Genomic DNA, 17,176 nt, shown 5'->3' on the forward strand with positions numbered 1-17,176 from the left:
TAAACATTTGCTGAATGAATGAATAAATCATCAGAATAAAAAGGTATCTTTCAGAAGTGTGAGCCAAAATATAGATCACAACGCAGTTTAGCTCAAAATTCATCACAAATCTTGCCTAGAAGGATGTTTTCAAACTTATAGAAGAACCACAAGAAATATACTCACAATATGTCTACTTCTAGCAATAGCTGACAGTCTTTTATTTATGGGTGGCTCATATGGAAATTCATGGTAAAATGCATCATAAATATAGCTTTAGTGGCACATTTTAAACAATTTTTGTGAAACTATTCTTGTAAAGTTGGAAATAATAGAGAAAAAAAAGAAAATAATATAAAAAAATTTCCACAGTCCCAAAAGCCCAATGTTTGTTTTCTTTGGAAGATTTGTCTAAGACTTGTGTTTTAGTAAGGAAATGCTGAATTTGCTTTAATTTTACTGTATTTTAAAATACTGAAGAAAGCTACTCTGACGATGTGACTTAGAAGGAGTCACAGATGGCTGAACTTCCTGCACAGCCCCTGGTCTCCCTCCAGCTGCCCCCACCCTACCCCTACATCTTTTCTGAAGAGGCAGAGATATGCACTTGGACCAAGAAAATGTATGTGTTTGAGGCATAGTTGGTTATATCTATAAACTGACTTATGCATAAGGGAGTTGCATAAACTGGTGTCAATGACAAAGGTATTATGCAGCACAATTTTAAATGCTGAGGCTTTTAAAAATACAAAACAAAAATACAATAGCTAATTAAATCTCTCTGAACACCACGCCATCTCAGGAAGCCTGGTCAAACACTTACTTTTACCATCCCTATACCAACTGATTGTCTTGTCCACTGGTTTTCTAGCGGCCTGGCTTTTCTACTGTGACTGAAGTGTGTCATATTTTTAATACGAGAATCTAAAATCTTAGTCAAATACCACTTTACAATCATGAGTGGCTTTCCACAAGTGCTATTTCTAGGCCAGGGCATTTTCCATTTTGCTGGTTGAAGGGATAGAACTGCAGGGGACACGCTGGCCACCCTGAAAATAACTGTCCTGTGGAGCTAGAGGGCAGCAATCACAGATGTTACTAAGCCCCTTCCATGCTTTCGCTATGACTTCGCCACCTAGTCCCAGGAACGTCAAGTATCTTTAAGGCTTTCTCACTGTGTTAAATTGCTGCTACGTCTCATACAGTCACATCTGTACTTGATAAACAGAAAGCCTCTCGTCTTCTGGGGCTCACTTTCAAGATGCATTGGCTGTATCAACTAAAGCAGAACGAAAGGATCCTATGTATTCCACAGGACAGAATCAAATACTGTAGTGCATATTTTTTCAAAGGTGGGAAAAATCAGTATGAGTAATAAGAAGGATTTTTTTTTTGTTTTTCTCTCTTCAATTGGTTTTTCCCTAAGTTACCTTCCTTCTTTCCCAAAAGCATTATGAATGAAAGAAAAGGATCCAAAAAGCCTCATATGATTTCTCCATTTCTTGCTCATATAACAGGGCTGGTTACACCATACTTTCCTCAAGTCATCTTCAAATTATTATCTTTAAACTTACCAGGCTTTGATCCCTCAGGAACTGTCCCATTCCAAACCTGGTGTAAGAACTCAGGTCTGTTGTCATTCATGTCAATAACATTGATGACAATGTCAATGGGGTTCTCCACTTGATTTCCATTAATATCTACTGCATGTGCCCTCAACTGCAAAAGTAATTAGAAAACAACTATTTAACAGATTTATGTCTGTGAGAAGATAAATACATCATCATAAGGCTACAAAAATAGCAAGAATAAACTCACAGCTGAAAAACAAAAGCGGTTCTTCCCATCAAAATTTAAGTTACACCAAGTCCATATAATTAGGATAGATATAGTAGCAAAAAGCCATCATTTACTATATGCTAGGCATTGTTCTCAGAGCACAATGGATTTTAACTCCTTTAATTCACGTACAAAAGAGTGAGGCAGAAATTTTCAGCATTTGAAGATGAAATTGAGCCTCAGAAAGACTAGGAAATTTATGAAGGTCACTGCTGTCTCTGCTGACAGGACTTAGATCCAAAACCAGTTGTGTCCAGCTCCAAAATCCCTTCCCTAAACCAGTAGAGAAGACAGACTTAAGGTAATTAAAAATGTGAAAGTAGGCCAGGCACGGTGGCTCACGCCTGTAATCCCAGCACATTGGGAGGCCAAGGAGGGCGGATCACCTGAGGTCAGGAGTTTGAGACCAGCCTGGCCAACATGGCGAAACCCCGTCTCTACTAAAAATACAAAAAAAAAAAAATTAGCTGGGCCTGGTGGCATATGTCTGTAAGCCCAGCTACTTGGGAGGCTGAGGCAAGAGAATCACTTGAACCCGAGGTTGCAGTGAGCCGAGATTGTGCCAGTGCACTCCAGCCTGGGTGACAGAGTGGGACTCTGTCTCAAAAAAAAAAAAAAAAAAAAGAAGTGGAAGTAGCACAAAGTAGTGATAGAGATCAAGGCAACAGAAAATAATCTAGAAAGAAGTGTACATAGGAAATTTTGACACTAGTTTTTTTCTTTTCCTTAATTGTAAAAGTCATTCACAAACATTAAAAATATACTAGTATATGGCTGGGCACAGTGAGTAGCTCATGCCTGTAATCTCAGAACTTTGGGAGGCTGAAGCAGGTGAATCACTTGAGGTCAGGAGTTCGAGATCAGCCTGGCCAACATGGTGAAAACCTGTCTCTACTAAAAATACAAAAAATTAGCTGGGTGCCTGTAATCCCAGCTACTCAGAGGCTGAGGCAGGAGAATTGCTTGAACCTGGGAGGCGGCAGCTGCGGTGAGCTGAGATCATGCCACTGCACTCCAGCCTGGGCAACAGAGTGAGACTCCATAAAAAAAAAATATATATATATATATATATATATATATACGAGTATATACGATAGCTGTTCCTCTCCCCAGCCCAGTTCTCAGTTTTATAGGTATTCTTCTAGAAACTTTATCTTATTTTTCTTTTTAAACAAAAATATTCATTTGGCTACACTTGGCAGAATATCAAAATCCTTTCCTCTAGAATAGATTCATTTCATTCTTTCCAATGGCTGTTTAGTGCTCCTTTAATTGTTTCTTTTGGACTGGAATGCTTCTAGTTTTCATGTTAAGTCTGATGCTTGCCATTGGTTGCTGCTGGATACACTCTATCAAATTAAAAAAAGCTTCAACATATCCTTTTTTAAATTCAGAGGTTATTTAAACACATAAAAACAATGTAAATTTTAATACTGCCATTCAATACCTATAGAGATAATTCTTTTTTTTCCCTTGGCTTATTTAATATCTTACATTACATTAATAGATTCTTAATACTAAAACAATTATACTTATATATTGAATCTGAATACTGAACCTTAATACTTTCAATTTTACAATTAATTCTGTTCTGTTATGGGTTTTTTTGTTTTTGTTTTTTTTGTGAGATGCAGTCTTGCTCTGTCACCCAGGCTGGAGGGTAAGAGTGCATTGGCACGATCTCGGCTTAACTGCAACCTCTGCCTCCCAGGTTCAAGTGATTCTCCCACCTCAGCCTCTTGAGTAGCTGGGATTACAGGCGTGCACCACTGCAGGCAGATAATTTTATTTTTTATTTTTAGTATAGACAGGGTTTCACCATGTTGGCCAGGCTGGTCTGGAACTCCTGACCTCAAGTGAGCCACCAGCCTTGGCCTCCCAAATTGCTAGGATTCCGGGCGTGAGCCACCACACCCGACTGGTATTGCTCTTTTAATGTGCAAGTAGCAAGCACTTAGCAATAATTTACCCCAAAATTGACCTGAATATACTCATTTCCTGAGTTTTAACCACAGGAATTCAGAAAGCGAGAATTCCTATAAGAAGAGATCCTTAAGAATTTTAAATTGATCTTATTTATATTCATAAATTAGAAATTAGTCTAAGTAGAGGCAGGTATATTGTGTGCTATCTAAAAATAAGTTTCCTTATTAATGCTATGTTGTCTTTGTGAGACGTTTGGAAGTTTTACTTCTTTTCCTATGTTTCAGAACTATATGGAAAGCATTAGAATAACCTATTCCTCCAATGATATTAAAAAATGGAATGATGAAGAAATCAAGGTCTTTGGGAAGAGAAAGTATAGAGCAATACTCAGTGCATAAGACATTTTAAATTTCTCATATGCTTATTTGTCTGTTAGATCTAGGTGAATCTATTGAAGTTTAAAAACTTCAATAATTGTTCTCATTCATAGGTGGGAACTGAACAATGAGAACACTTAGACACAGGGTGGAGAACATCACACACTGGGGCCTGTCGTGGGGTGGGATGAGGGGGGAAGGATAGCATTAGGAGAAATACCTAATGTAAATGATGAGTTGATGGGTGCAGCACACCAACATGGCACATGTATACATGTGACAAACCTGCACGTTGTGCACATGTACCCTAGAACTTAAAGTATAATATAAAAAAAAAAAAGAAAAAACTTCAGTAATTTTAAAAGTTGGTAAAAGTACAAGAATTCAACAAATGTATCAGTGGGCAAAATAAGAGTCTGGAAACACATCCATGCACATGTGGGATGAAAGTTTTAGTGATTAAGTGTAGATGATGGATCAATGGGGAAACTAATTCAATATATGCTGTTGGGACAAGTAGCTAGTCATAAAGGAAAAACAAAGTGGGTCTCTCCTTTTATTAAAATAACTCTGCAGAGGTTAAAAATTCAAATGTAAAAAGTAAATACAACAAAAATTTGGGGAACTGGGGAGATTGGTATCCTGGAGTAAAACTGGGGAGACTGGCATCCTGGAGTAGGGAAGGCCTTTATCAACATCTCTGGAAAGACAGAATGTATGATAAAATTTTTAAAAATGAATTTTGCAGTGTAAAAACGATGTTATACTATGGGAAAATTATTGACAATGTTAGAAATAAACAAAAGGAGAAAATGTAGGACAAACCAAGCACTAACATTCCTAATTAGACAAAAGGTTCTTAGCAATAAGAAATCCCAAAGAAAATTCAAAATAAGAAAGGAATAGGGGATTCACTTTGATTAGAATACTATGCATTCATTAACAATGCTGTGACCTCTATATATTTTACATGTAACAGATTTGACTCCATTCATATAAATTTGTTCTTACAGATTCTTAACCACATATCTGAAAGCAAGTATCAATATGTAAAGAGTAATGAGATTTTAGGCAATTTCACTTCCTTCTTTCTTTGTTGTGGGCACTATTTGTTTTTCTATGAGGGCATTTATCAATTCTATAAAAACAATAACATTATTAAAATAAACCAAAAGACTACAGATACAATTCTTAAAACTCTCAGTATTGAGGCTTTCAGACTGATATAAGAGGCAATGGTAAACTCTGCAGACATTTAGAACTGTTAATACACAGAATTATCAGCTGGTTGGAATCTTACATGAAACCGGGCTATCTGCTCGCGATCCAGGGGCTTTGTCACCGACAGCTGACCCGAGATGGGGTTGATAATGAAGATACCAGTTGGAGGCTGGTCAGCTCCTGGCCCAGTTACACTGTACCGCAGTGAAAGGTTTTTATCTCTATCAGACCTGATCTGAGGATCAAGAAAACAATGACATTAAGTGAGAGACTAAATGAGCTCATTATCAGAGATGGGGCACATCACACTTCATGCCCTTTTTCAGCTACAAACTTATACCATCTCTCCCCAGAAAATCACTGAAACTCTCCTAGTGCCTGTTCTTCCTCTGCTTCTCAGTGACAGGCTTCAAAAGAGATGTCATCTATCACCAGAAAGACTGGAGGCAACATTAACATCTAAAAGAAAACTCACTAGGAGCAGTGCAAAAGTTCCAAATCTACAAGTGAGAGTTTTTAAACAATCAAACTCTGTCCTGGGAGTTTCTAGGTTAGACGATTTAACATAGTAAGAGCTGTCCAATTTCATTAAAATAAACATTATTTACCTTTTTGCATCAGTAACAACAAGAATTAATTGTCTATCCATAGTGTGAAATATACTCAAATGGAACTCTAATACAGTTATGGTTGACCCTGAATGTCAGACTTCTGTACTTGCATTGTACTAACACTGTTCATTGCGCACCAAAGCTTTCCGTATCATTTTAAGTGACACCTGAAATTTTCATTAATAATAAAGCACAAAAGAAAGCATTTTAAAATATATTTTTATGCTCGCAAACATTATATCATTATAGGCTCACTGCCTTCTCCAAATACAACTACTCTCAAGAAAATTAAGTCAATGTATGAGCAGTCACAGGAGACAGAACAGGCTATGGAAGGGGACGAAGGGAGGCAGGTACAGAGAAAAATAAGAGATCCTTATGTATTAGGTACTTATACTTAATCCATCAATAAAATCTAGGTTTTTTTTTTTTGCGGGGGGGGAAGGAGTCTCACTCTGTCGTCCAGGCTGGAGTGCAGTAGCATGATCTCGGCTCACTGCAAGCTCCACCTCCCGGGTTCATGCCATTCTCCTGCCTCAGCCTCCCGAGTAGCACCACGCCCAGCTATTTTTTTCTGTATTTTAGTACAGACGGGGTTTCATCGTGTTAGTCAGGATGGTCTTGATCTCCTGACCTCGTGATCTGCCCACCTCAGCCTTCCAAAGTGCTGGGATTACAGGTGCCCTGCCTGTTTTTTTTTTTTTTAAGTTAAAGCAAAATTCCCTTTTCTCTCAAACTTCATTAAAGTAGAAAAAGAGACAGTATCTTAATTTAGAGTTACATTCTTTGTTAAAGTGAATTATAATGTACATTAGGACAGAATATACAACATATTTTAAAGCGGCTTATTTTAAAAAAAAGGCTTTCAGTAAGTATGTGTTAGAATGCTAAAATAATCATATACAGAAACATTTACATTTTAATAAGTGGGAATACAGCAGCCTTGTCTTACTATACTTTTGTAATAAATAATGGGTTAAGTTTATTAAAATGCAAAAATATCTGCATTTTTTTTCTGTAGCTGATGGTATGTATCTAGAGTAAATAACTAAAAAAAAAAAACTTACTCCTCAGATTTGAAAGCCTATGATTTTACACTGCCCTGGGGATTCTGTTAATGGTATCAGAGGTCATTCTTTTCTTTAAAAAACTCTCAAATGCATTTGGTGCTGGCATTTTTAACAATGATTGCCCTTTATTTTTTCTGTGGCCCAAAAACCATCTGTAGAGGGCAAAGATCATCACAGAGAGCCCAGCTTTCAGACAGGGAAGTTTAGGGGTGTGTGTGTTATGAGAGTGGAAATGGTATGGTTGGGAATATGTGTTGGCTTTAGGGCTTGTGTAGTCACAAACTGAACAAGCTTTCTAATCCACAGTGTGCAGGACCTACAAGTGAGCTCTACTTATAAATAATCCAAAAGGTAACAAAGAAAATGAGAAGAGGCTTTCTACAACACTACAGAAATTCTATCTTTATAGAAAAACACTTTTAGTATATACATGTCATAAATTCTACTTTGTAAAAAAAATAGACAGAAATATTTTTAACATACATTTGTCTTGTGGTATGAAAACAGTTAAAATTGTGCCACCTTACCCTGACAAGCTCTTGAGGAAAAGGTCCCCTGGAGTTTTCTGGCAAGTTGATTGGAGGGATGACCCAGTCTCTCTTCTGCCTTTGTAGGTGGCCACTGTGCTTACTGAATTGTCTTGGGAACACTATTTCTTCAACTTCTGCTGACTCCTTTACATTAAAATAGAAGACATTCCTGAGTACTAGGAAACACATTTTCTGAAAGTACATCAATATTATTGAATACCTGAAAGCATAGGAATCACAGTTTATTATGAACAAAAAATAAGTCTGGAGGCCCTTTTCCCTGGCCCCCTATTAAAATAACAGAAAAATACCATAAAATTTTTGGGTTATACTGTGTATCTGAAAAATTGAATTCTAAACAATTTATTATATGGCACAGCTGTGTAAACTATTTGCAGTTTCTATAAACCTTTTTAGATAGCAGTTAATATTGAGCAAAATTTAATAGTACCCTTTTATATATTTCTCATTAGTTTAAACCACAGTTCAGGTAATGTGCTACTGTACATTAAATTTAGATCTTGATGTGCTAAAATATAATTTGAATTCCAAGAGAAGTTTAATACATACTGCTAAGGAATGTCTCAAATATTTATGACCCTATTATATCCCACAGAATTAATGCTGTAATTATTCTAAACCTATGTCAGCCATGATGGATGCTGCAGATGACCCACTTTGCACATTAGGTATTAATCTCTGCTGGATGTCAACATTTTCTTCTGTTTCTTCCTCTATCTGTAGACATTTTAGCCATTAGCCCTTGCTGCTTCAGTGCAAATATCCAAGCTAGTTTGCTGGAACACAGCAAATCAACAACAAAAGCATCTTTTCACTCCATTAGTTACTGGGTTTTCACTTTATATTACCCAATGACATGACTTCCCTCAACAGTTAATAGATTAACAAATTAAATTTCACATAATAAAACCACAACACTGAAATAAGAGAAAAATGATATATTTTCCTCTGATATATTATTCATGTTTGATTGTGGGTATGTATATCACATTTACAATTAAATACCAGAAATGAATGTGTCTGTTTTTACCTCTCACAGTAAAATAAGCATAAAAAAAGTAGTAGTCATAGTTCCATAGTTCATGGACTTCAGAATATATGGGTGTGTCCCATCATATTTGTTTTGAATTAACTCAAAAAACTAAAATATTCAGAAAATATTATCATAACGTTACTGAAGTTACTGTATTTTATTTAAAATTCCGAACAATGACTTATACAAATTAAGTGCTCAATAAATATTTGTTGAATTGAACTGAATGGCACTCTGTTGGAAATGTACCTCATTTATTTTATCTTGGCTCACAGCAGCTTCCACCAGAGGGAGTATATCATTCCTAAAAAGTCATGTTGGTAGTATAAATAATTCATACCCCCCAACTGGATTATTAAGGGACAAGACAAAAACCCAATACTCATTGCCAGAAATGTTTTCCTGTTACTACTTTAAATCTGTACTTCTCATCTAATAAATCTGACTGATGACATCTTGTAAAGAATTGTTTATTTTGTGGTTTTATTTAACAGCTTGTAAAACTTCTAAGAAATTTAAAACAAACTGCTTCTAACTTAAATTATAAATCTCAAAGTATAAACAAATCTTTAAAATACAATTTCTAGTTGCTTAAAATATATTTAGTCTACGTATCTTAAGAGATTACAAACACAACAAAATATTATTAAAATGACCAAAGTTGATACAAATGCAAATAGTGGCCATCCATTAATGTGGTCTGAAGCAAAGCATATATTTAGTTCAAACTGTATAAAGCTGATTTTTAACCAGCCCTAAAGCCATATTCGGATACTATACCTTCACTGACTCCTCAGTTAAGGTTGGCTTCAGGCTCAATTTTACTGCCACTTGCCACTTTTCCTGGGTCTCTTTGTCTTGGGCATATATCAGGAACTTGGCATGCTCAGAAGAGAGTGGAAAGCTTCTCACGGCATACACCATGCCATCTTCATCCACCTTAAAATCTGCAGGCTCACTGCTCTCATATTGTACTTTTCTTTTTCCATTGCAGTTGCTAAACTTCACTGTAAAAGATAAGAAATAGGTCAGTTATTATAATTATACCAAAAAGGCAAAAAAAAACCCCTAATACTTAAACCTATATCCTGCTTAGGTTAAAGGATAAAAATACAGTAGCATGAAACACAGAAGTTTTATTTTTATTTTATTATATCAAAAGCATTTTCATACTATGAAATGCCAGATGGTAGTTCTGAGCTGTGCCCTAGCATTTCCTTCTTCCAAAGCTTTCCCCTTCTTTTCATACTTCCTGGACACTGGGTCCTCAGGTGCACCTGCTTTTCACCCTGACACCTTTCACTGGTATTTCCTCCCACCCTATTACAAACTTCCACTCACTCTTCAGTCCCAGGTCTAAAGTCACTCAAAGCAGAACAAACCCCCTTTTTCTCAGTCTTCATGTAGTGATCTGAGCTCTGCTACCTCAGTTTCTTAGTCATGTCTGACACTGCTTGGAAGAGGCAGTTTGGGGCAAATGTTCTTAGTTATCCTGCATACCCTGCATACTTTCTGGCACACAGTCTTAATACATAATTTCGGAACAAATGCTTACAGGAAGAAAGCAATGCATTTATTAATGTTGAATGTTTACTATGCTCTAGAATTGTAAGACCTTATGGTAATTAACAGGTAAATAATTTACAAATTTCTATTCCTCTTAGTGCTTACAGTACTTCCATTAAGCAGTAACATATTTAAAAAATTTTAAACAAATAAAAATAAAGGTGTATCCCAAAAGAAATTTTAAATTAAAAAAATGATGACAAGAGTAGAAGAATTCAAAAATGTGTCTTATCTCTATCATACATGCAATGACTTCACACTTAAAAAAAAAACAACTACTGCTGTCTTAAATGCTATGACAGCTTGTCTCAACAGGTAATAAAACAAAAATTAAACCATGAACTTGTGTAGAACTAGACAAATTCAAGATGTAATAAAATAATAAAAACAAAAATATTCTCTAAGGAAGATTATTCCTTTAAAGTCCTTAATTGTTCTTTCTGAAGAAAAATTCTATGGGAATAGCAAGTAAAGGGATCAAATAAAAAATGATTTTTTTATTTCTGTAAACGTCTGATGTTATGTTCTGGCTATAATTACATAGGATACTCTTTGGAGTGTAATTAATAGCGACATATTACAAAATATAATCAAATACACCTTGTGCATTTCTCAAGGATCTAAGTAAAGTGTTTATGAACCCTCCCACTGCACATATAAGCTGCTGACAGTTCTTCTGCTGTCATTAGAATAAATTCACTGAGACGTGCACACAGCCACATCTAAATAACAGGCATGCTTATTTCCCTTAGTAACCATAAAATCCTTGATAGAAGTCATAAAATACTTTAACTACTGAATATATTATTTTCCACATAATGCCATCTATATTATCTTTCATATTTCAATCATTTCAAAGTGAAAATAAAAGTATATCTCAAACTAAATGATGTTAAGTCAAAATGTTTGTCTTTGGAGTAGAAGTATCCCAAAAGATATTTAATTACTCCATCTTCCATGCCCCATGATTTAAAAGTGAAAAATGGGAATCTTTTCTACAGAACAATGCCATCTACTGCTCATCTTTCATTAAAGACAAAAAATGAAATGTAAAATTGTTTTTTGGATCCCTGCTGATAAATCAAAACGAGACTTTTGCCATATTTTTGTATAAAAAGTACTTTTTTATATTACAAGAGGGATTCATGGTCCTTAAAAACATAATCTGGAATAGAAAAATTACATACTCTTCTGCACACTTTTTTGTTAACTGTGATCACTCTAGTATTATTAATTGTCATCCATAAACACCTGGACTGTTACATAAGCCTCCTGGGTAGTCTTCCCAGTTCCTGGTCATGGCATGCCCACTGCTAGACTAGACACCTGCTGTGATTTTCTCCTCCCTGCTTAAAATCTGTAACATTATATGTCAGATCTTTAACCTAGAGTACAATGCTCTCTTAATTCTTGGGTCACCTGGTCTCTTCAGTTTTACTTACACCACTTTCTAAAACATATACTGCCTGGCGAGAGAGGCTGCAGTCATCCCCTACCTCGTGCTGCTCCACCCCACAGGCTCAAATTCTTATCTGGGACACTCCCATTTTCCATACCAAAGCCCTAGGGCCAGGTCATCACTTTGGGGGAAGAGTCGACCATGATGCCTTTCACAAGATTTCGGCCTATGCCCTCATTTGGAACTGCTCTAAATTTTTTATTTTTATTTGTATTTCCTGTCCACTGAAACACACTGATACTTTATGTTTATAATAATAATAGTTATAATGATGGTTATTAATAATTTCATATGAGTGGATCTTCTCTCCCTAAGCAGACTATAAACTCACTTTGGCTTCATGAGAGTTAAGTATTGCTTCTTTTGTTTCTTAGGACACTTGATGGTCACAGGAACAGTATAAGTGCTCATTAAATATCCACTAATATCTTACAACTTTTTCAAAAAGTAGGAAACAGATGGGAACCTTAGAAGTACACACAGCCTACTATAGTAACATCTAGCAACACAAACAAATGAACAAACAAAACCCAGGGACTTCAAAAAATTCTACTTTTTATTAGGTTGTTGGTAGTAGAAGAAAATGAATTAATACTTATGGAATGCCAGGCACTGAAAAAGACACTTCAGATTATGTCACATGTTAACCTTAAAAATGACTCCTGAGGTGGGAATCATTGTTTCTGTTCTGCAGATGAGGATGAAAACTTCAAGTCATCTATGCACATGGCTGTTTGATTTCCAGCGGTTTACTCCCATACAAAAGTGCAAAAGAATCTAAACTCATTACATAAGTCACTCATATCTAAAGCTTTAATATAAAACAATAAAATTAACAAAAAGATCTGAAAAATGCATACGAAGAGAATAATGCCAAATTTAGACCTCTGAGAGTACCACAGTAAATAGCGCATTAAAAAGAAATCTTTTTCTGTGTCTATTGAGATGATCATGTTATTTTTTGTTTTTAATTCTGTTTATATGGTGTATCACATTTATTGACTTGCAGATGTTAAACCATTCCTGCATTCCTGATATGAAACCCACTTGATCATGGTGGATTATCTTTTTGCTATGCTATTGTATTCTGTTATAGCTAGTATTTTATTGATGATTTTTGCATCTATGTTCATCATTGCTCTGTTGTAGTTTTTTGTTGTTGTTCTTATGTCCCTTCCTGGTTAGGGTGATACCGGCTTCACAGAATGATTTAGGAGGAATTCTCTGTTTCTCTATCTTGTGGAATAGTGTCAATAGGGTTGGTACCAATTCTTTGAATGTTTGATAAAATTCAACTGTGAATCTGTCTGGTCCTTGAATTTTTTTTCTTGGCAACTTTTAAATTACTACTTCAATCTTGCTGTTTGTTATTGGTCTGTTCAGAGTTTCTATTTCTTCCTGGTTTAATCTAGGAGGGTTGTATACTTCCAGGAATTTATCCGTCTCCTGTATATTTCATTGTTTAAGCATGTAAAGGTGTTCATAGTAGTCTTGAATGATCTTTTGTACTTCTGTGGTATTGGTTGTAGTATCTCCCGTTTCGTTTCTAATTGAGCTTATTTGGATATTCTCTCTTCTTTTCTTGGTTAATCTCGTTAACGGTCTACTAGTTTTACTTATCTTTCAAATAACCAGCTTTTTGTTTCATTTATCTTTTGTATCTTTTTTGGTTTCAACTGCATATAGTTGTGCTCTGACCTTGGTTATTTCTTTTCTTCTGCTGGGTTTGTGTTTGGTTTGTTCTTGTTTCTCTAGTTCCTTAAGGTGTGACCTTAAAAATCTGGCATCCCTTTATGATTAAAACCCTCAGCAAAATTGGCATAGAAGGGACATACCTTAAGGTAATAAAAGCCATCTATGACAAACCCACAGCTAACATTATATTGAATGGGGAAAAGTTGAAAGCATTCCCCCTGAACACTGGAACAAGACAAGGATGCTCACTTTCACCACTTCTATTCAACACAGTACTGGAAGTCCTAGCCGGAGCAATCAGACAAGAGAAAGAAATAAAGCCCATCCAAATTGATAAAGAGGAAGTCAAACTGTCGCTGTTTGCTGAAGACATGATTGTACCTAGAAAACTCTAACTCATCCCAAAAGCTCCTAGAACTAGTAAATTCAGCAATGTTTCAGGATACAAAATTAATGTACACAAATCAGTAGTTCTGTTATACACCAACAGTGACCAAGCTGAGAATCAAATCAAGAACTCACCCCCTTTTACAATAGCTACAAAAAAAAAAAAAAGGAGGCAACAGACTGCTGTAAGGAAAACTACAAAACACTGCTGAAAAAAATCACAGATGACACAAACAAATGGAAACACATACCATGCTCATGGATGGGTGGAATCGATATCGTGAAAATGACCAATGACCATACTGCTAAAAGCAATCTACAAATTCAATGCAATTCCCATCAAAATGCCACCATTATTCTTCACAGAACTGGAAAAACCAATACTAAAATTCACATGGGACCAAAAAAGAGCCTACATAGCCAAAGCAAGACTAAGCAAAATGAACAAATCTGGAGGTATTACATTACTTGACCTCAAACTATACTATAAGTCCACAGTCACCAAAAAAGCATGACTGGTATTAAAATAGGCATATAGACCAATGGAACAGAAATGTATGAAAAAATGCTCAACATCACTAATTATCAGGGAAAGGTAAGTCAAAACCACAATGTAATACCACCTCACTCTGTAAGAATGGCCATAATAAAAAAAATAATAGATGTTGGCATGGATGTGGTGAAAAGGGAACACTTTTACACTGCTGGTAGGAATGGAAACTAGTATAATGACTATGAAAAGGAGTGTGGTAATTCCTTAAAAAACTAAAAGTAGATCTACTATGTGATCCAGCAAATCCACTTCTGAGTATCTACCCAGAGGAAAAGAAGTCATTATATGAAAAAGATACTTGCACACACGTTTATATATATATATATATATGTACATATATATGTGTGTGTATATATATATTTATTTATATATTTATATGCACACCACGGGATACTACTCAGCCATAAAAAGGAACAAACTAATGACATCTGCAGCAACCTGGGTGGAACTGGAGACCATTATTCAAAGTGATGTAACTTCAGGAATGGAAAACTAAACCCTATGTTCTCGCTCATAAGTGGGAGCTAAGCTGTGAGAATGCAAAGGTGTAAATGATGCAATGGACTTTGGAGACTCAGGGAAAGGGTGGGAGCAGGGTGAGGAATGAAAGACTACACACTGGGTACATTGTACACTGCTCGGGTGATGGGTGCATCCAAATCTCAGAAATCACCACTAAAAAACTTATTCATGGAACCAAACACCACCTGTTCCCCCAAAAACCTATTGTAATTTTTTGAAAAGAAAGAAAACAAGAAATGAAGAAAGAAGAAAGGAAGGAAGGAGGGAAGGCAGGAAGGAAGGAAAGAAAGAGAAAAGAAAAAAGAAAAGAAAAAGAGAAACAAAGGTAGGATAAGGGTTTGACAGACAGAAGCGGGGATTTCATAGTCACTGGCACTTATTCTATTAATGTTGTACTGTTACTTATTTGGATTCAGGTGTCACAGTGCTTGAGGGAGGAAAGAAGGAGGACTTTGCAAAAAACGCATTTGCAAAAAGTCACTTACTGCACATCCTATGAATGAGAAGAGGTTGACCTAAGAGAGTCTGACACTAGAGAAAACACTTTAGAAGAAATTGTATAAAGGTCAGTCATTTAAAGTCAATTGGTTTTTCTATCACCTCTGCCCCTAACCTATGACCAATATGAATTGGTTTAATATATCTGTTATTACGATTTTCAGAGTTTTAAAAACAGGTGCTAATTCTCATTTGCTCAAATATTAAAATACACAAAATCTTTTGGCATTATTCAGGCTCTATGGAATGTGGTGTATTACACAATTCCCTTTGTATATTTAATCAGTTGGGTCAATATCTTAGATAAAACTAAGTCAACTGAAAAAGTTCTCCTTGATGAAATATTAGTCCTGACTTGATCCTGTGGTTTTGGAGCAATCCATGTATGGTACCTGGCTCATGATTATATGCTTCTTCCATGTGAATCATATTTTATTATTTGCAAGTCACACAAATTAAAAAGCTTTCAAATTTCAATGGATAACATGTGAATTCCATTTATCATCCACTGGTCAAGGTTTATTGCCTGTTGTCTGGTTCACCTATGACTTAGATGCAGCTAGGAATATCTTCTTGAATTTGACAAGATTCACCTCTGCTCTAGGAACAAACACTAAAACTTACTCAAGTTGTTTATTTTACACAAACTTAAAAGTTAATAGGAAAAAAGTGGAAAACTGTTAAGTTACAGAATCTTAGGTATACCAGTAATATATACTTAATTTATAAGTTATATATTTTTTAGTTCATAGCCTTTCAAAAAGACTTTAAGGCTTAAAAATAAAAATAGTACATAGAAACGATGTGAAAGGGAGAAGATATACATGGGACGTGCTTTATTTAAATTAGCTTCAAAAATTAAACTTTGATGATGAAAATAAGGCTAATATCATGGACATTTGACTGCTGTAAGGAGAAATACATAGTCCACTGGAGCCAACCTATTTCTGTTATTAAAACATTTTCCTTATGAATGGCAGGTACAGAACTCTGAGTACCATAATGAACAAGATTTTCAACTTTTATTTTTCAAAATATGAAGCAGTTTTATTATTTTTAATATATGGGCTTTCAAGAAGAGATGATGACAAATTTATCTTAAAATACACGTTTAGGAGTGAAACTATTCTGTATGATGCTATGATGGTAGATACATAACACCATGTTTTTGGCAAAATCCATAGAGCTGTGTAACACAAAGAATGAACCGTATTGCAAACTAGAAACTTTAGTTAATAATAATGCATTGTTATTTATTTGTCAATTGTAACAAATATACCACACTAATGCAGGATGTTACCAACAGAGAAACCAAGTACTGGGAGAGATATATGAAACTCTGTATTTCTGCTAATATAAAACTGGTCCAAGAAGTAAAGTTTATTAAGTTGAAAAAGTATAACATTTCTTAGAGATGATGGTTAAACATGCTAATTATCAGATATAACTTAAAGGAATGGATGGTTGTCTCGTTGTCAATATCCCCAATCTCTCACAAACATGACTTCCATTGAATTGCCTCAAGCTGGTATTAGTCAGAGTTGGATAATATAATCGAATCAATACCTTTATGTAATTATCCTAAGTATGAATATACTGAGTTGATATTTAATGAAAGTTATGCTATTTTAACAGACACATATAAACAGTTAAAATTTCATTTCAAAAACGATTTTAAAATTTGGCTTGAACATCTTTTCCTGAGAGAACAACCTTCCTTCCATCAACATTAAATTTTCTTATGCTCAGATAATCTCAAGTAGAAACTCCAGAATATCATAACATGGGAAAAAAGAAAATACGCTTCCTTAGACAACTGAAAGAACAGGCTTGATCCTCTGGATTAATTAAGTCTATACACGATTAAATGATTATGGCAAAAAAAATCA

General features: G+C 35.2%; 1 protein-coding gene across 4 annotated transcripts in view; it reads right to left on the reverse strand.

The window, feature by feature from the left end:
- The window catches only part of CDH2 (cadherin 2), a 244,252-nt gene that overhangs the window by 71,417 nt on the left and 155,659 nt on the right, over positions 1–17,176 (reverse strand). For all 4 annotated transcript variants that reach the window (XM_017025514.3, NM_001792.5, XM_011525788.1 and 1 more), the window contains 4 exons: positions 9,388–9,614; positions 7,551–7,697; positions 5,422–5,577; positions 1,554–1,698 (listed from right to left, as the gene is read on the reverse strand). In XM_017025514.3, coding sequence (XP_016881003.1) covers positions 1,554–1,698; positions 5,422–5,577; positions 7,551–7,697; positions 9,388–9,614 — 675 coding nt within the window. The remainder of the gene's footprint in view (positions 1–1,553; positions 1,699–5,421; positions 5,578–7,550; positions 7,698–9,387; positions 9,615–17,176) is intronic.

Source organism: Homo sapiens, chromosome 18, assembly GCF_000001405.40.
Source record: "Homo sapiens chromosome 18, GRCh38.p14 Primary Assembly".
NCBI lineage: Eukaryota > Metazoa > Chordata > Mammalia > Primates > Hominidae > Homo > Homo sapiens.